The 21,630-nt window shown below is 33.9% G+C and overlaps 2 pseudogenes across 1 annotated transcript; one reads left to right on the forward strand and one right to left on the reverse strand.

The window, feature by feature from the left end:
• Positions 1 to 2,570: 2,570 nt before the first annotated feature.
• Positions 2,571 to 4,151, reverse strand: XKRY (XK related, Y-linked (pseudogene); annotated as a pseudogene). The gene has a single exon (NR_171026.1). The product of NR_171026.1 is annotated as an XK related, Y-linked (pseudogene) (transcript).
• On the forward strand, positions 15,722 to 18,507 carry USP9YP23 (USP9Y pseudogene 23; annotated as a pseudogene).

A 21,630-nucleotide genomic window follows, 5' to 3' on the forward strand; every position in this document is an offset into this window, starting at 1 on the left:
ACTGACAATTAAATAGAGAAATCAGACGAAAGTTGAGTCATGTAATCCAAAGCAAAATAGTATTTCAAGAATGAGGGTGTGAATCAGTTTTACAGATACACACGACTGTTTGAGTAATACGCAATAGACAAGTGATATATGGGATTTAGTGACAAGTATAAGATATGATTCCAAAAACAGGGTAAATGCCTGAAGAAAGGAGAGTTAAGAAAAATAAAATTAAACCTTGTCACAGGCAACTCTTTCCATGAGTCTTCCTATCATAGAAAATAAATAAATGAGTTGACAGTGGCATATCTAGAACTAAGACAAGCAGCATGTAGATCTAGTAAAGAAAATGATCAAATGGGGTGTGGCATCTTACACCTGTAATTGCAGCACTTTGGGAGGCTGAGGTGGGGGATCATTTGAGGTCAGTTTGAGACCAGCCTTGGCAACACGGTGAAACCCCATCACAATTATAAGTTCTAAAACTAGCCAAGCGTGGTAGTGCATACCTGTAATATCAGATACTCAGGAGGCTGAGGCAGGAGAATCAATCACCTGAATCCAAGAGGCCAAGGTTGCACTGAGTCAAGATTGTGCCAGAGACTCTCTCTCAAAAAAATTAAACTAAACTAAAATAAAAAGAAATGATCCTGCAGGTAGAGCAAAGAAGTAATGGTACAAGGAGACAACAAATAATAAGCAAATCAGTGTTTTAAGAAGCTGGGAAATCCAAAGCAAAGGCGAAGAGGGTCATAACAAGGAGCAGTAAAAAATATACACAAATCTACACAAGTTTTATTTTTGGTGGTGATTTCTCAGGAAAAAGAAACACAAAAGAAAGTGTGAATAAGAAAGTTGTCACCATTGCCTTGGTAGAAAAAAATGGAGAAAAACCACCACCAACAAAATAATGTAAATTATACAATGTTAAGATCTAGTGTTCTTCATCCCTTCCCATGGTGTTTGTTTCCTCAAGAAATAACAGAAGCCAAATATTCAAAATAGAAGGAAACATTAGCATATATTACTGTCTACATATATTAAGTCAAGTTTGTTTTAACTGCAATTCATTCTTTTAAAATTTGTATTTTAAATTAACAAATATAAATATTTATGGGACACAAAGTGATTTTATAATTCATGTATATATTGCAAAAGAATTATATTGGGCTAGTTACCATATCCATTACCTCACATACATACCATTTCTTTCTTTGTGGTAAGAATATATAAATTCTACATTTTAAACAATCCTTATTTTTGAGATAGAGTTTTGCTCCTGTTGCCCAGACTTGAGTGCACTGGTGCAAACTCAGCTCATTTCAACTGCCACCTCCCGAGTTCAAGTTTTTCTCTTGCCTCAGCCACTCGAGTAGCTGGGGTGAGATGTGCATGCCACCAAACCTGGCTAATTCTTATATTTTCAGTAGAGACAGTGTTTCATCATGTTGGCCAGGCTGGTCTTGAACTCCTGACCTCTACTGATCCTCCCTCCATGGCCACCCAAAGTGCAGGGATTTCAGACATGAGTCACCATGCCTGTCCTTTTTTTTATTAAACAATTTTTAAGTTGACATTTATTAACTGTGATCACCATTCTGTGCAAAGGATCACCAGAACTTCTTCCTGTCTCACTGAAATTTGTTACCCTTTGATGAACACCTCCCCTTTCTCTATCCACGCCCATCACCACCCCACACTCCAATCTCTGACTACTTTTTGTGTGTTTGTAGAAAGAGTCACGGCCTTGCTGCATTGCCCAGGCTGGAGTACAGTGACACAATTATGGCTCACGGTGGCTTCAAACTTCTGACCTCAAGTGATCCAACCACCTCATCCTCCCTTAGTGCTGGAGTGACAGGCATGAGCCACCACATCTGGCATATTCACAGTTTGAATGAGTTCAACTTTTTTAGATTTTACATATAATAGTGATCATTCTATACTTGTCTTTCTGTGCCTCTCTTATTACACTGAGCATAATATCTTCCAATTCCATTCATTTTGTCACAAATAAATAAAAGATCTTCCTCCTTTTTTAAGGCTGTATAGTATATCTCATTGTGTATATGTGCCACACTTTATCTCTTGATGTGCACTTAGGTTGTTACCGTATCTTGGCTGTTATGAATAATGCTGAGATGAATATAGAAGTGCAGATATCTCATTGCCATGCTAATTTTATATCCTTTGAGTACGTATCTGGAAGTAGAGTAGCTGGATTATGTGGTAATTCTTATTTTTAATTTAACTGTATTTTTGAACACTCAATTCTATGACCCCAAAAGCACAGACTAGAAAAGCACAACAAAAAACAATTGGATCACATTACATCAAACTAAAATGTTTCTGTACCACAGAGGGAAAAGGGTGAAAAGCAAATGTTCACTGATAGTGTATATGCTATATTACAAGCACTTATTAAATTAAAGGTATAGGTTCCAAAATGTACTAGGTGAAAAATGTATTATGGTTATTTTTTCTGCTTAGTTTTTGTAGCCAGATGGATTTTTCATTTTGTTTTGTTTAATAAGCTGTACAATTATATTTAAGAAAACAAAAATTATTAATGCATAGTCACATTAGAAAAATCAATTTTATTAGAAACTACTTCCAAGGTTTTGTTGTTTATATTTTTTATGAGTATCTTTATAAAGTCACACTCAGCCTCTTTACTCTTTGTTCTGTGAAAGTATATATGGATATTGCATACTCACTTATTGAAAATATCCTACCCTTCTCCATGAGTGATAGTAATTCCTCAGCTGCTTACTTTTATTCTTTTAACTGAATTTTCTCCAGATGCTTACACAATATCACAGTGCTTCTGGATGATTTTCAGTATCTCCTGGCAATACTTTGCCCGACCACCTTGGTTGCAAATACTGACAGAAGCGGAGCTTAAAGCCAAAGGCTAATATGTAGGTTTTGATGAACTACACGGCAATTATTGAGTCACAACACTTCGGTAAAACGTTCCCTCCAAAGAAACTAAATATCAATATTATTATCACATTTTCTAAAAACTGAAATCTGTAGTGTAGGATTGTATGTCCCACCTCGTGTCTCTTATCAATTCCTCATTTGACAGCTGCAGTTTCACTGCTGACAAGCAGGAGAATTGATGGCAGCATATACTAGCATGATTAAGATAAGCATCCATACTTACCCACCATGCTGGAATTATTTTTTGTGTTGCTAGGAAGATGAGTTCCACTTTTCGAAAACTCCAGCCATGGTGTCAACAATAATACAAAATATATGATTAATAGAAAGTGTAAGCTCCCCTGTTTCAGAGATGCAGGGAAGAATGCCAGAGTCACTACAGGTGAGATAATCACCAACGAATGCCATATCATGAGATAGATCAATTTTATCACCTGTAGCTTAATGGCAGCAAAGTCGTTGCCAGTGCGGATGGCCAGTATATTGCAGTGAATGGCACCTACACAACTGATAAGAGGGAATATGTCATCAGCAATGCTATTAAAGATAAACATGAAAATGCTAGAGAATAATTTTCATTAGTAATGGCCACTTTCTCTTTTAAACTTGCCAAGTTAAGATATATTTCTCCCAACCCACCTCCTTCGGAAAATAATTTACATACAAAAAAGAAAGAAAAAAAAAGATTTGTTATCTTTCCATTATCAGGGATTTAGTGAATATATGCATGCAAAACATATAAAATAAAGAATAAGTGAATACACACATACACAAATTTATAAATGTATATACACATTCCCTTAAAATAAAATAACTGGAACTCATGAAATTGGATAGAGACATTTGTATCTGACGTTACAAGGTGTGACAGCACCTAGAAAGAAGTCTCAATTAAGAACAAATAAAATTGCGTGAATTAGATCTTGAAAAGGTAGTTTCTTTTTTATATAAAGTTAGAGTGTAAAGTAGGAAATTACGGTGTAAAATAGGAGGTGAATGCAATATAAACTGTGTTTTAGACTCTGGTGATAACAGGAAATCGGAAATAAGCTGTGGAGTTCAAGTAAATTCTGGAAGTGGAGCTGCCAGATTTTGCTGTGTGATGGAATACAAGGTACTAGAGAAGCAGAAAAATTAAAAGTTTTAGAAATTAAGTGATTTGTGTGGGCATGTTTTTGTTTGTGTGTACTTAGGTAATTTTATCAGAAGTTTTTAATACGAAAATTAATTTAATTTTGACATTGTTATCCCAATAATTAGACTAATATGCACAAGGAAGAAAAACAAAATTATGTAGTAGCTGTATAATCAGTTTAAACAATCTTCTACTACATTCAGTTGAAAGAGTAAAAATTCATTTCACATATACAGAAGGGTTAAAATAATACAGTCTTCATACACAATGAAATGAAGCCAGAAAACAAAAAGAGGCCAAATAGTCTTTACTCATCTAAAGTAACTATTCATTTTCTAACACCATTTAGAAAATGAATATCGAGAGTCCATTTATTCCTTCAGGGATACCCAAAGAGAAACTCTAAAGCAATAACATTCTTAACTGCATTTATGAGAAATAAGACTGAATAAAAAGAAATGATCTAAAAGTTAAATTTTAGAAAGTAAATTTTAGCTGGGTGTAGTGACTCATACCTGTAACCCTAGCACTTTAGCAGGCTGAGGTGAGTAGATCACTTGAGCCCAACAATAACAACAAGAAAACACCAAAAATGTTATCCAGGCATGGTGGCACATTCCTGTAGTCTCAACTATTCAGGAGGTGGAGGTGGGATGCTCACTTGGGCGAAGGAGGTAGGCATAGTACATTTTGCCTTGGGACATTTATTTGCCTGTCCCCTTGCCCCAGCACTTTGGGAGGTTGATACCCAGGGGTAATCATGTAGACCAACCCCGGCAACAGATTAGAAACTATGATCTCCGCAGAATGGAGCTGAGTTCCCGTCAATATTCCCACTGATTGACTACAGTAACCTCAGACACTGAATAAAGATCAGAGGGCAGACCATGGAAGTTACAGGCCTTGAGTGCATCCAGTGCTCAACTGTGTGATACAGGTGCAACCTGGCACTGAGTCGACTTTGTCAGTCAAATTACTCCAGCCATGAAAGTCTGCTCATTAATGTTTCCCCTCGTGCTACCAGGGCTGAAGCTATCATAGGCTAAAATACCTTAATTTCCTCCTCCTTGCCCTGAATCTCCGGACAGCCTTACTGTGGAAGAAAGCTTCCAAACAAAGGCAAACTACAAACACTGCATTAGGCACCTACATCACTGCACAGACATTGATGCATAGTCACAAGCATTAGGATCAATGAGAGAAACATGACGGCATCAAGTGGTCAAAATAAAGTGCTGGTGGTGACTGACCCAAAAGAGATGGGCATGGACACAAGGCCTGACAAGGAATTCAAAATACTTGTTTGAAGACAATGCAGTGGACTTCAGCAAAACACAAAGAATTCTGAAATTTATCAGAGAAGCTTACAGAAGAGATTAAAATACGGGAGGAAAAAACAAACAGAAATCTTGAAGAATAAAACACAACAAAATAAAAAATGCAATTGACAGCAGTGACAATAGAAGTGGTCAAGCAGCAAAACTCAAAGGGAGGTCAATTCAAAATATACAGTTAGAGGAGAAAACATAAATAAGATTCATGAGATTAATGGGATAACATCCAAAGAGCCAATGTGTCAGACACTGGCATTCAAGAGTGTGGTAGAGCCGGGTGTGATGGCCCATGCCTGTATCTTCAGCACTTTGCGGGGCCAAGGCGGGTGGATCATATGTTGTCAGGAGCTTGAGAGTAGCCCGGACAATATGGTGAAATGGTTTATCTATTATAATACAAAAATTAGCCGGGTGTATTGGTGGACATCTGCGATCCCAGCTACTCAGAAACCTGAGTCAGGAGAATCACTGGAACTCAGGAGAATCACTGGAAACCAGGAAGTGGATGCTGCAGTGAGCCACAATCACACCATTGCACTCCAACCTGCGAGACAAGAGCAAACCTCCATCTCAAAAAAAAAAAGTGTAAGAAAAGAGTAGAAAGCTTATTTGGATAAATAATAACAGAAGCCTTTTCAAACTTAAATAAAATATAAATATTCTGCTATAGGAATCTTGAAGGCTTACAATCACATTCAATTTCAATAAACATATCCCTGTGACTTAATATAATCAAACCACCAAACATCAGAAACAAAGAGAGGATACAGAATTAAGCAGCAGAAAAAAAATAACATATTATAACGGGAATACATCCATACAAATAATATATGCATATATATAATACAAATGTTAATAGATCCAAAGGAAGAAAAAAATGCAAGATAATATTAGAAAAATTCAGCACCTTACTTTCAGCAATGAATAGATAATGCAGACAGAATTTAACAAGTAAACATTGGATGAAAATGCCATGTAGTGAAAATGCTAAAAACAGTTACTGAACTATCCATCCAAGAGCTATAGAATAAACATTCTTCTCCACTGCATACATGAGATATCTTTCAGGATATGTCATACATTAGGTAAAAAATCACATCTTAATGAATTTGGAAAGATCAAACTCACATAAAGTATCTCTTCTGAAATCACTAATTCATAAGTACATCAAAATTAAACAACATGCTCCTGAATAACCAATGAGTCAGTGAGGACATTAAAGAGAAAACACCATATTTCTTGAGACAAAAATAGAAACACAACACACCAAAACCTATGAGATTCAACCAAAGCAGTTTTAAGAGGGAAGTTATGACAATAAATGCCTTCAACTATGAGAAGATATCAGATATACAACTTGATGTTTCAATGAAGGAATTAGAAAAACATAAATCTAAACTCAAAAGTAAAAACAAAAAACAAAAACAAAAAACAACAAAAGAAAACAAAGCCCCTGATAAAGGAAATCAGAGCCATAAAAGAGATACCATAACTGATACCCAGAAACAAATTAATGGTAAGAAATCAAATCAGCAATAAAAGATCACCTATTAAAGAAAAGCCCAGGACCTGATGTATTCACTCTTGCATTCTACCTACCACAAAAAATAAACTGCTGCCAATTTTTTTTAACCTAGTCAAAACATAACACAAAAAGGAAGATATGGGAACTGTTCCAACTCATTCCATTGGGATGGCATTATTCTGATTACAAAACCAGACAAGGATACAAGAAAAAAGAGAGAACTATGGGCCAAAATATCTGATAAACATAATGTAAAAATCCTCAATAAAATACTGGGAAAATGACTTATAATGCCCATTTAGAAAATCATTCACCGTGATCAAGTGAGATTATAGGGATGCAGGAATGGTTTAATACACTAGAATCATTAAATGTCATACATTATATCAACAAAATAAAGAACAAAATCTATGCAGTCATTTCAATAAGTGAAAAAAGTTTTGACAAAATTCAACAGTTTCACAATAAAATCTCTTAACAAATTATGCGTGGAACAACCGTAACTCAACACAACAAAAGACACAGACCCGAATAACCAGATAACACCACATATACAAGCCCTTAGCTAATATCACACTCAAAGGGAATTAAAAGTTGAAAGCTTTTCTGTGAAGATCTGAAGGAAGACCAAGATGTTCATTTTCACTACTTCTATTAATGTAATAATAAAAGTCCTTAGCCGGAAAAATTAGACAAGAGAAAGTAAGAAAAGCTACCCAAATTAGAGAGGAAGAAATAAAATTGTCCATACATGCTAATGACAAACTATGGAAATCCTTAAACACACAACTAAAAAGTAGTTAGAACTAATACAGAAGGTCAGTAAAGTTTCAGTTTACAAAATCAACATATAAAATTGGATAGCATTTCCATACACTAACAGCAAAATACCAAAAAAAACAACAACAACAACAAAGATTAAGAACACAATCTCATTCACAATAGGTATGGGGGATAAAAGGGAATAAATTTAACCAAGGAGATTTAAAAAATCTGCATTCTGAAATCTATGAAACACTAATAAAATGTTAAAATGACATAAATGAGTGGAAAGATATTTATGTTCATTGATTGGAAAAAGTAATATGGTTAAAATGTTTATATGATCCAAAGAAGTGCACAAGTTGAGTGCAGTCTCTATCAAAACACCAATGGCATTTTTCACAGAAATTGAAAAAAATCCTAAATAAATATGAAACCACAAAAATAAAACCATGAATAGCCAAAGCCATCCTGAAGATGTCAATGGGGTTAGGGATTGAATCCACAGAACTGGGCATGCCACAATGCTATAAACCAATACAACAGAACACAGTGAGCAAAAATAAATCTACACCTGTATAGCCAACTGATATTCTGCAGAGGTGGCAAGAAAACCAAATGAGGAAATGTCAGTCTCTTCAATAAGTGGTGCTGGGAAAACAAGAGAGCTACATGCAGAAGGACCTAATTACAACCCTATCTCTCACTGAATACAAAAATTAACTCAAATGGATTAAAAAGCCCGGTACAGTGATGTGCCCCTATAATTTTAGCTACTCAGGGGTCCCAGAAGGGAGGATCACCTGAGCCTAGCTGTTCAAAGCTATAGCGTGAAACACTTATGCCACTGCACTCTACACTAGGTAATATTGTGAGACCTCACCTATAAGAATACATACTTAAAAACATTTAAAATTAAAGATGTAATGACAACAGCAATCTGTCAAACTAGTAGAATAAATCACAAAATATATTTAATGACCTTGGTCTGGGCAAGAATATTTTTGGATAAGACTTCAAAAACACAAGCAAAAAAAATGCACAAACAGAAAAATAAGGTTACATCATACTAGAAAAATTCCTTACAGCAAAAAATAAAAATAAAATAAAATAAATCACCAGACTAATGTAATGAGAGCAAATATTTGCCAACTGTATATCAGACAAGGGGTTAATCAAAATGTACAAGGAACTAAAAACAGATTCAAAAGAACAAGAAAATAATAACCCAATTAAAAATAAGTATCTTCTGTTTCCCAAAGAATGTATATACACAGCTAACAGGTGTGTGTGTATGTGTGTGTGTGTGGCTGTGTATATATACACACACACACACACACACACACTATACATAAATATCTCAACATTTCTCATCATCACAGAATTGCAACCTCTACCTTCCAGGTTCAAGTGATTCTACTGCCTCAACCTCCTAAGTAGCTGGGATTACAGGCGTGTGCCACCACACCCAGCTACTTTTGTATTTGTAGTAGGGGTGGTTTCACCATGTCCTCTAAGCTTGCCTCGAACTGCCATCTTCAGGTGATCTGTATGCCTTGGCCTTTAAAAGTGCTGGGATTAGAGGTGTGAGCCACCATCCTCAGCCTATTGTAAGAAATTTAAGAAATGTATAAAATTTCTTAAATTAACCTTGTAACAAAGACAAATTTTGCCATGCACGATGGCACATGCCTGTATTCCCAAAATTTTGGGAGGCCAAGGTGGGTGGGTCACGAGGTCAGGAGCTTGAGACCAGCCAGGCCAATATAGTGAATCCCCATCTACACTAAAAACACAAAAATTATCTGGACTTGGTGGTGTGCGCCTGTAGTCCCAGCTATTCGGGAGGCTCAGGCAGGAGAATCCCTTGAACCTGGGAGCTGGGGGTTGCAGGGAGGTGAGATCACACCACTGCTCTCCAGCCTGGGTGACAGACACTGTCTCTAAACAACAACAACTACAGCAACAAAACTAGATGTGTTTCTACTACACGGAGATTTATTGGTTCTAATATTTTCAGGTGTTTTATTTATTTGTTGAGTTTTCTGGCTAATGTATTGTTCATTTTTTGTTGTTTCTGCCTAAGTCCTTTTCTTTCAGGAGATTCAGTCAATTAAACTTAAATTATCTCCAGAGTATGGCCCAAAATCACTTCATGCATTATAACTGGTATTAATTCTTTGGCTTTGCAGGAGTATTTATTGCCCTGCTAGTGCCACCAACTGCCCTCGCTATTACTAATTTTTATTTGCATAGAAGATTAAATCGTGAGATTGCACATTTTTGCATGTGTTTATAAACTTCTGCACTTACCTTTTAAAGAAAGGTAACACTTATCCCCAGTGACTCCTAATTCTATAAAATGTATATTTTTTATATATTTTACTATCTTGGAAGTCTAAATGCAGATCTGAATGAAATTAGTTCTTACAAAATTTACAGTACTCGTGAAAATCAGTATAGTAACAGACAAGTCATATGGAAATGAATTGTTTAGCTACATTTTGATATTCCAAGTCACAGCTCCAAATTTAAGGATGAGTAGAAAATCTACCACTAACATGTTAAATCACATGAGTTGACAAATAAAACTTATGAGATTATTTTTGAGCCATACTTTCTTCTGTCTCACTCTACCCTCATTCCTTAATTTAAGGTTATATTCATATCCCTCATTGCTATTTAGAATGCCCATTAGGCTGAATGAGAATAATATTAAAAGGAGCAGAAAAAAACCACTAACTAAATTCCATTTTCATTTTTTTTTTTAAAAGCTATCATTATCTTATGACTGATAAAAATTGAATAGGAAAATTTTCAGAATTGTGAAAACTAAATAAAACTAAACAGGGATGTATTTCAGTTAGAGGAACAATGATTATCCCATCCTTAATCTTGTTAGGGAACTATTTGTATTCTATTTACTTGTTGGAAACAGAATGAGAGACATTTGTGTCGTCACTTACCTCACCATAGATCCTAAAGGAAGAACGTGCCAAAAAAAGTAATGTAGCTTTATTTCTTCTAAAGTCTTTGTTGAAAAACATTAGGGTAATTTGATCCAAAAGTACTTACACAGTAATAAAGTTCACGGCAAATGACATCAGAATCTGTCAATAGCTTTTCAATTAATTTCAAACATATACAAAGCATAGGTGGCCTCACCACAACAGAGAACAGTTGAGCAGAGAATTCTGAAAGTAAAGCTCACATGGGGTCTGTGCCCAAGGACCATTTTTTCTTCCAAAGATAAAACTCCTCCTGTAATTTCTTTATCAGTCTCTTCAAACGCTGTGTCCATTCTCAGCATGCTGCTAATTCAAACTCTTCTTGTCAGTGAATCCAGTATAGTTCTGTATCAAATCCAAACAGAAGAAAACAAGATTCTGTATAATTCACTATTCATGGAAAATGTAAAAAGGTAAGTATGGATCACTAATCACAATAAAACATATATATCTGGTTTAGGAAATATTGAACCACCACTTGACATATGCAGTCAATTAAAGCATTTGACATAATTTAGTCAATATGTCAAATAACTTGACATATTATTTCTTCAGCAAACAATGTTTCAAGGAAATAGACAATAAAACTTCTATGATGCCTTAACTACCTCTTAACACCAAGATGATACTCCTGTCTTCAAGTAGTAAGAAGAAAGGGATATATTTCTCATAAGTTTTCTTTTGGTGCTCTACAGTCAATGTCTGCTGCTGACATTGACTAAAACAAAATGGCACAAGGTCTAAGCCAAGTCCAACCATGATGACACTAAGAAAACTATCTAGCAGATATTTCTGATTTGGAAAGGAATACAAAACAGTGAGCCCTTTAAGTTCCACTTATTGTTAGATGTTGGTCATTTTGCATTTAAAATACTGTTTCTTGGCGTGATGCTATGAAGTTATTAATCAAGTAAAGTTTCAATATAAATAGAATGGAAATCCAGACTTTGCATGGTTATAGAAGATGTAAATTCTATTTTGTTGGGGGGTATGAAATAGCTCATATTAGGTTCTTTCTAGACAAACTGTCAGAGAAATTAATGATATATTGTGAAGGTCAATTAGTCATTATGGGTGGGAAGCAATCAATATTCAACAAAAATGGCTAAAAAGGAAGATAAAAGGCAACAGTACTTTTAAATCCAGTAAATATTGGAAAGGAATTTAGACAGCTTTTCTGAATAAAAATTCTGTTAATATAATAAAAAGGCATGAAATGTGTAAGAATATAATGCAAATTATCAGAGAGAGAACATAATATTTCCCAAGAAGATGTTGGTCATTTGTTAAAATATATCAATGGGAAAAATAGAAGTAGCAGTTTAAAAAAGTGGGAGGGAAGAATCAAGAAGTTACCTATTTTGTTTTTATTTGATAATATGTTCATTTCCTGAACTTTCTTTGCATTGCTTTTATTCTCATAACTTATCATAAACATCCTTTCCTCCAATTTGTTAAGTTTTATACTGTACAGTATTAAATTCCTCAACTTCTGTTGTTTGTTATTCTGATCTAAATCACACCTTTATCTATATGCACGTATTTATTCAAAGACAAAACCTTTATCACGTTTTAAAATACATCCTCCTGGACCCAACCCATCAATGTGATTGATCTTTTCCTCTTTCGTGTAATTTCTTTTGTTCTCTTCTTCACTGCCCTGATTTCCTTATCACACATATATAAAAACTCCATATTTTATGATCCACAACAGAAACTGTCTCTTTTGGTACTGACATTTTTCTCTGCTTTTAATATCAACAGAGAATTTCTATTAGTGATTTTCTTTCCATCAGTTCATATACTGTCTCAGGTTTTATCCCACAACAAGGAAGTCACAGTCCTTTCTCAAAGGCCATCGGTGACACCCTAATTGCTAAATTTAAAATGTTACATTGAATTTCAGGTGAGTATTTTTTCCATTGGTAATATGCTCTCATTTGAAAATTCCACTTACCTTACCAGTCAGGCACTCATCCCCAACAGTCTACCAAATATACTATACTTAAAATAATCACCTTTTTTTGGCCAAATATTTATATATATATATATATTAATTTTAATTTCTTGTCTTTGGTTTTTTTTTTGTTTGTTTACTGAGACAGGGTCTGCCTCTGTTGTCCAAGCTGGAGTGCAGTGGTGCAATCAAGAACTCACTGCAGCTTCAAACTCCCATGCTCAAGTGATCTTTGCACATCAGCCTCCTGGGCGACTTTGACTACAGGCCACCCAGACTAGCTAATTTTGGTAGAAACAGGGTCTCTCCCATGTATCCTAGGCTGGACTTGAGTTTCTAGGACCAATCCATCTGCCTGCCTCAGGCTTCCAAAGTGCTAGCATTGGAGGTGCAAGCCACCAGGCCTGACCAAATATAAGTTACTTCTTAGACACCCTCTTCCTTGAACAATTCCTGATGAATTTGCTCCCAATCTCCCAGTTATCTCTGCCTGTATGATGGATTTCTGAATGGTACTATGAGTCCCACATGGTTGTCTCCAGCCAGTCTCTTACCAAACCCAAATCATATATGACTCTATTGCACATATTCATGTTTAACAGGCAATTTGATCTCAAGGCTATACACTGAATTCTGATGTTCCTTCCAAACAACTTCCCTCCCCCAAGTGTTTCCCATTTCACCTGATAGTAATTACATCCTGTTGCAAAGGCCTAAAACTGAAAGGTCATCCTTGATGCTTTTCTTTTCATCTCCTCATTTCTATTAGTCCTCAAATTCTTCATGTTTTCCTTTTAAAACAGGTCCAGAATCTAACCACTTTTCCCTATTTTTCATGCTGTCATCCAGATACAGGTTATCCACATTTCTCATCTGATTAGCTCAGCCTCTTTACTGATCTCCTACCTTCCACTATTACAAGTATTACACTATTACCACTATTACAACTAGGTGAATTATATCTCAGATACTATAAAATTAACCATTTTAAAGTACACATTCAGTGATTTTCAGGATATTCTCAATGTTATGCAACCATCACTATTATTTAAATATAGAACGTTGCCCTTACCTTAAAAAGTAACTCTACCTATGAGCATTCAATACCAGCTTCCCTTTTTCCTAAGCTAAAACCATGGTCTTTATAATGTAACAAACAACCATATATTATTTTCTTCTTATTCTCTTTTGCATGTCTTCTTCTACCATCCTCTTTCTTTGCTCAAATCTCCTTTGAGCTTATACTATTCACATGCTTATAAATGAACCCCAAATCCTTATCCTTCTTACATAAAAATAAAATCAATAGACGTTGTCACTACTTTCCACTAAAGTGAAAATGTAAGTTCCATCAGTACCTGGATTTTTGTCTTTGGTCAGGTGAACTGGCATAAACAATACCTGATGTATTCACAGTTAATTTGATCTTTTCTTATTTATTTATTCTTTTTTGGCACGTGAGTGGGGTGTGATTAAATCTTGCTCTGTTGCTCAACCTGGAGTGGCAGGATCTCAGTTAGCTGCAACTTCTGCCTCTCAGGTTCAAGCAATTCTCCTGAGTCAGCCTCCCGAGTAGCTGGGACCTCAGGCACCTGCCAGCCCAAACGGAAGTTTTTTGTTGTTGTTGTTGACATTTTTAGTACCGACTGAGTTTTGCCATGTTGGCTCGGCTGGTCTCAAACTCCTGAATTTGAATGCAATATATTCCATAGACAAGGCAATACTAGTGAGTTTTTAAATTATAAAGCTGTTTTTGTTCATTAATAATAGTTTACTTTGAAAGTCTATTTTCATTTAGAAAAAGTTAACTCATGTTTTTTTTGTCTGTTTTTGATCAACTAGTTTAAAATTTTGTAGCTATCAGGTACATATGTAAAATCATTTATGTCAGACAATATTAAATTAAAAGCATATGCATTTCTTGTTTTTTTTTTTTTTTTTTTTTTTTTTTTTTTGAGACAGAGTCTTGCTCTGTCACCCAGGCTAGAGTGCAGTGGCGCGATCTCGGCTCACTGCAAGCTCCGCCTTCCAGTTCATGCCATTCTCCTGCCTCAGCCTCCCGAGCAGCTGGGACTACAGGCGCCCACCACCACGCCTGGCTAATTTTTTGTATTTTTAGTAGAGACGGGGTTTCACCGTGTTAGCCAGTATGGTCTTGATCTCCTGACCTTGTGATCTTCCCGCCTCGACCTCCCAAAGTGCTGGGATTACAGGCTGGAGCCACCGCGCCCGGCCTAATATATGTATTTCTTAAGTGTTCCCCTATATTTGGTGTTGGTAACTAAACTGAGTTTTATTGAATCATATGTTTCCTTAGTGTAAAAAGAAGCCAAATTTAATGGTACAAAATGTTTATATTTAAAATGTATTCATGAGAAATATTTTAATAAACCAAGCCTTGAAGTTGCTTAACGTTATTCTATTTAAATTCTAAGAGAGGTATGGCTTTAAAAATCATAATGTGAGAAGAGAAATTTTGAGTGCATTGTATGACTTCTAAATGTCCACCTCTGTCCAACAAAGTAAGTAGTAATGTTCAAATCTTACACGGAACTGAAACTCAGGGTGGGAAGTCATGTAAGTAAATTAACAAATTATAACAAAATTTAGTTCATTTCAAGAGAAAACTGAGGGCTAAGAATACAATTAGCAACACATTCTCTACAGATCTTTAATTGGAAAGTGTGAAATTATATTTGTTTATGTTTTTATCTGTATGAGTATATTTTCTAGTGCATTGAAGAAGTTTCTAGTTAAACTCACCACTTAAAAGGTCAGATCTTTATTTGTCTTGTGGGATCTATGTAGAAAGAAGAGTTTCCTTTATAAAAACACCTTTTTTGTTAATTTATTTACAGTTGCATTGACACAGTAAATGTATATAATCAAAAGATTTTTTTAAACAAACACATTTTTTAAAAAAACAGACAGATATAATGTCATTAAAATATGGACCTAAGGGGTCTGTAGTTAAAAATCTGTATAGTCACTCAATTTGTTGTTAATATCAAAATTTAAAATACTCCTTCAAAAATGGCTGCATTGATAAATGAGTTGTTGTTAATATTAATTTGTCACTTGATGGAAAGACAAGTGGACAGAATTATTTTCATACTACAAGCATTATTTTTTCTTCTTATCTCAGGTTGTGAGCACTTTTTGAGTGGGAATATCTGCTCCCTGTTAGATCTCACCCACCAGAAAAACTTGTGGTACTCAAAAATACTGGTACTACTTGTCACATGAATTCTGTGATCCAACAGCCACATATGTATATATATTATATAATATATTATATATAATTATTCTTATATATTATATAATATATATTACATATAATTATTCTTATATATTATATTATATATTATATATAAAATATAAAACATATAATATATATTATATAATATAAATTATATATTTTAATATTATTTATTATTTATTATTATTTTAATAATATATTAAAATTAATTATTTTAATAACATATTATATATTTATTTTATATTATATTATATATTATATATTACATTATATTTAATATTTATTTTAATTATAAATAATATATATTTATATAATATAATATATATTATTTATATAATACATTATATATTATATATAATATATAATGTAAGAATATACATAATATAATAATATATAATATAAGAATATTATATATAATATATTGTATATAAATATTATATATTTATAATTTATAAATATATAACATTTATAATTTATATATAAATTTTATATAATATATATAAGAATAATTTTATATAATATATTATATATGAATTATATATAATTTATATAGTTTATATATTATATATATAATTTTTATATGTATATAGTTTCCACCAGAAACAGTATTCCTGCAATTGAATGCATAGGTAAAAATATAGACTATGATTTTTCAAACATGAGAAGCAGAACAGTTAGGTAAATTCTAATTATTCATTATTATTACTTTGAAGATTCTGATAGCAGCTACTGTTTTTCTCTCAGAAATTAGTGTACTTTAAAAGAATTATGCAGGAAGTTCTTCTTCATAATATGGCTGAAATCTCTGAGTTACTGTGACTGACATATTTATGTTATCTGTTTCATAAGCTGTGCTTTTTTTAAAATTCTCTATGTATTTTTCTCAAATGAGAGCTTTTTCTGCTAAAGAAACAAATTTCTTTTTCAAATTACGTTATGTGAACTTGTAAAAAAAATTAGTTAAGAACTATCATCAAACTGCCTATGGAAAGTATTCATTTGAAAATAAAGTGGTAAAAAAGTTATATCATATTTGTAGGTCACCTATTTAGGATAAACCTCCAAATAAGAGAATATGGGATGCTTAAATTTTGGTAATGTTTATACTCAAGCTCTTTATTATTATTATTTTTTTTTTTTTACTTTTCTGTATAGATATTGATAGAAACTAAATTTAAAAATTAGAATATTTTAACTGTAGTAAATGATTCTCCTAGAATTTCTTCATTTTTTTTCCTTTCAGTGGGCAGAAATAGTTTGTCTTTCAGCTACTAGTTTCTCAGCACTTATCATTTATAGGATTACAAAACACACACTTTCTTTCTCTTTCCTAGATTCAGTAAATTATGTCATCCAAACATCGCGGTCACGGTAGCTTTACTTTTAGTAGAGTCTTCATATGGGATGTTCACCAATACTTGGTTAACAGCCACTATTGGAAGAAAAATTGTAATGTAAGTTCTGGTACTATAGCCCATATGACCCCTAGGGTGTTGAATTTAACACATATAGAGATGGTTAATCACACCAGTAAGAAGCAAATGAAACAGACAGAATATAAAATTGCAAATTAGGTATCTTACCTTTGTACTTGGTTGCTTGTGCTTTATGTTGTCTCGGCAATGTACTGAGGCATGTATATCTGCCTTGTTTCTTTTTCTGTGCAATCAGCTTCTCCAGGGCAGGAAGTGGGTATTCTTTCTTTCTTTGTCACAACCCTAAGACACGATTAAAAGCATACAGAAATGTCTTAGATACTTGTAAACAAACTGTATTTTGCTTTATGGCTACAACCATGTTTTGACTTTTGGAGCTTCTGTCTATGCTCCTCTTTCTTCCACAACTATGGTTAATAGGTATATTTATTGAGTGTTAATAATTCTGATTTAATCATGTAAATAATCTTATGTAATTCAGAAAATGCATTATTCTCAAAAGAAGATACTGAAGCCTAGAAAGACTAAGTAACTTATTCCCCAAAATGTACTTATTTCCCCAAAGTTACTCATGGCAGAGGACTCACTTGTCTTTACTCCTGCCTACTTGACCAAACTTTACCATATTACATCCAGTGTATATTATTATTTTATTACTCTTTTATAATAACTTTTCTGTGAACTCAGTTATAATACCCCATGTTTGAAATAAGCAATAATCACAAAAATTAAAAAGAAATTAACTACTTTGAAAATTAGGAGTATAAACGGTATATCCTTTTATTAAATAACTTTTGGTATTTGTTGTAACTTCTTTCTTTGTATTTATAAAGTTAAATTTGTGCATTGCTGATTTCTTTTGGTCTTTAATGTTGGTACCCAACATAATTTACTAGAATATTTTTATTAATTTGAAGACAAACCAAAGTTAAATAACACAGGAGATAGAAAAGAGTACAATATTCATGTCCTAAGACAGCTTCAAGACATCTTTGTTCATTTAGCTGTTTCCAAACTACAGTCCTATGTACTGAAGGAATTTTGGTAACAGTTAAGGTAAATTTTAAGCAAGTCATTATTTCAGTTTTATAAAAACCTCAATACATTAACTAAACATTACTCAGAAAAGGGCTTCATATAAGGGACATTATGTTAAGTGAAATTAGCCAGGAAATATAAAGGACAAGGATTGCATGTTTTTATTCATACGTGAGAAATAACAAAGTTGATCTCATGGACGTAGAGAATAGAATGACGGATTATTATAGGCTGTGAAAGATATTGAGCGAACAAATAAGTAAGTTAGTTAATGGGTAAAAAATACAGTTAGAAGGAATGAGTCCTAAAGTTTGATTGTATAGGAGGGAGAATATAGGTATGAATAATTTATTATGGATTTCAAAATAACTAGAAGTTTGGATGTGGAAAGCTGTTTAAACAATTATGTCATGTATGTCTGAAATTACTAATACAGAAATTACCAATAGGGCATTTAAAAATTTGGTCATTACTCATTGTGTGCATGTATAAAAATAATAGTTCTACTTTGTAAATATGTAAAATTATAATTCATCAATTTGAAAAACAATAAATTGTGGTCTATTTAAATAAGAAATTTCACTAAATCTGGCCATTTCTGAATGGTAAAATGCTCCTTCTGTCTACACATTGGGCTTTTGTGATCCAAATTCTGATTTAGAAGTACTTTCAACATGTTCTCGGGCAGACTGAGGCCATGGCAGAAAGCCCACACATGCCCCTCTTCATCATTAGCTGGAAATTGTGATCCAGGGCACTCCTGGATGCCATGAAACAACAGCTGCCATTGGAAAGATAATTACTAGCTTGTCTTGCCTTGGTGTTGAGACTGCTTCTTTGACTGAAGACCATAAAATAATTACAAAACTTGCAACACCTATAATGTGTTGGGGAAATTAAGGAAATAATCTAATGAGGAAGTGCTCAGAAGGCTTCCAAAATATCATAAAAGATGGCTTTATAGAGTAAAATGTTACCAGGGAAGTACAAGGAGATGCTCATCCTGTTCAACAGCAAGTAGTCTGGTATTTTCTAGCATCAAGTTTGGAAACACCTCAGGAATTACCGGATCTCACTCTTACATGGGCAATGCCCTTTGAAGAGCTCCTGATTAACAACAACATGCCTGGTTGACGAATGGCAGTTTCAAGGTGGATGAACAATGTCTTCTTGGCAGACTTTCATAGAGACCAGAAATGAACGGACAAACCTAAGATGGAATGAGCAAATTAGCTCAATGATTAAACTGCATGCTGTTTTTTTAAATGAAGCAATAAAAACATTAAATCATTATTTTATAAAGGCAAATATTTGAATTCATGGGTAGTAAATAGTCATTAATGTTCTGGTCATGTGATCAATAGAAAACTGGACTTTCAAGCAGATACCAGTATGTGACATATGGACTTTCCATGGGCTGAGTCACATCCTGACATCTGCTTAATAGTAATAATTTAAGGGGTCCATTAAAGAAGGACATGTTGATTTCCATTTGAAGAATCCTCTCCAGGATGATTGGGAGGTGATTAGAACCAGGACAACATGATGCATTCACTTGAGGTGGCAAACTTGTAGAGATGCAGCAGTAATGCAGAGCTAGGATTAATCTACACATATTTCTCTTACACTCTCTAAGGAATAGAAATTCCAAAATCTAAGTCTAGGCCAGAAGAGAAATGTAGACTGCAAATAACAATAGGCCAAATAGGAAGGGCCATAACATAGTTGGATTACAATGTACCAATATCAGTAGCCCTGATGGTATATTTATAGGTCTTGACTAACGTAGACTGCATTTTGCATTCATAGTGGTCGATGCTACTGCTTATGTACTATAAAAAGATAAAAACATAGTATATTCTAACCAATTTGAACAAACAAATTGCTGTTCCTCAAGCTATGCAACACACTTCATATCCTATTGTTTCCAACAATGGGCATTGAGATATTACATCAAATAAAAAATTACATGTATTATTTAAAATCAGAAGGCACTTATATCTTCAGTAAACCCTACATCTAACAACAAAAGCTTTAAAATAATATAGAAATAAACTAGAAGACTTACTGCTTTCAAGGAAAATTGTCACTGGCTAGCAAAGCTGTCAGAAATCTTGGCGCAATGGTACTTCAAGGTACTGTGGATTCTGATAATATGCACTTCACTGGGGTTAGATGAAACCAAATTTTAGAAGCATCACTTAATACATTCTACCACAAAAGTGCCCCAACACAAAAACATAATCTACTATGCTCCACACATTGTGACATATGAAAATTGTGCATATTGATTTTAATATTTTATAATTTCTATTAAAAATATGTCCAGATTCTTTATCTCAACAAGAAATTAAACTATCAAAGATTAAATGTGAAGAACGTTTTAGAATTAAAATATGCTTGTTTTTTACATTTTCCCGTTTTCTATTTTTTCTGGTGATAAAAAATAAGGTTTCTGAGCAATACAGCTGCTATTCTGGGCAACTACTGTGATTTAGGTAATTCCATCCCTTGGCTACATGAACTTGATGAGAAGTCATGCTAAATGTTACAGCACAAGACAAGCTTTAAATGATTAACCTGGCTGGGTGCAATGACTCACCACCTGTAATCTCAGCACTTTGAGAGACCAAGGTGGGTGGATTGTGAGTCCAGGAGATCTAGAACTATCTGACTAACACAGAGAAGCACTGTCTCTACCAGAAATACAAAATTAGCCAGATGCATGCCTGTAATCCCGGATACTTTGGAGGATGAGGCAGGAGAATCGGTTGACCTCAGGGGGTGGAAGTTGTAGTGAGCCAAGATCACAACCATTGCACTCCAGCCCAGGCAACAGGAGTGAAACTCCATTAAAAGAACAAATGAAAGAAAAGAAGAAAGAGAGAAAGAAAGGAAAGAAAGGAAGAAAGGAAGGAAGGAAGGAAGGAAGGAAGGAAGGAAGAAGGAAGGAAGGAAGGAAGGAAGGAAGGAAGGAAGGAAGGAAGGAAGGAAGGAAGGAAAAGAAATGGAAAGGGAAGGGAAGAAAAGAGAAAAGAGGGAAGAAAAGAGAAAACTGCATTACTCACATTGTGGCTAATCTTCCCAAAATATTGTAACACAAATATTTGTTTTAACTTAGCATTGCTCATACATTGATTTTATTTACATTTTTGTTCAGTACTTTTTGTAGTAAATTTTGTATTAAAGCTGGTAAAATTGTTAAGTTTTACTGCCACTGGATTTTGAGAAAGACTAAATAA

This window comes from Homo sapiens, chromosome Y (genome assembly GCF_000001405.40).
Source record: "Homo sapiens chromosome Y, GRCh38.p14 Primary Assembly".
Classification (NCBI taxonomy): Eukaryota; Metazoa; Chordata; class Mammalia; order Primates; family Hominidae; genus Homo; species Homo sapiens.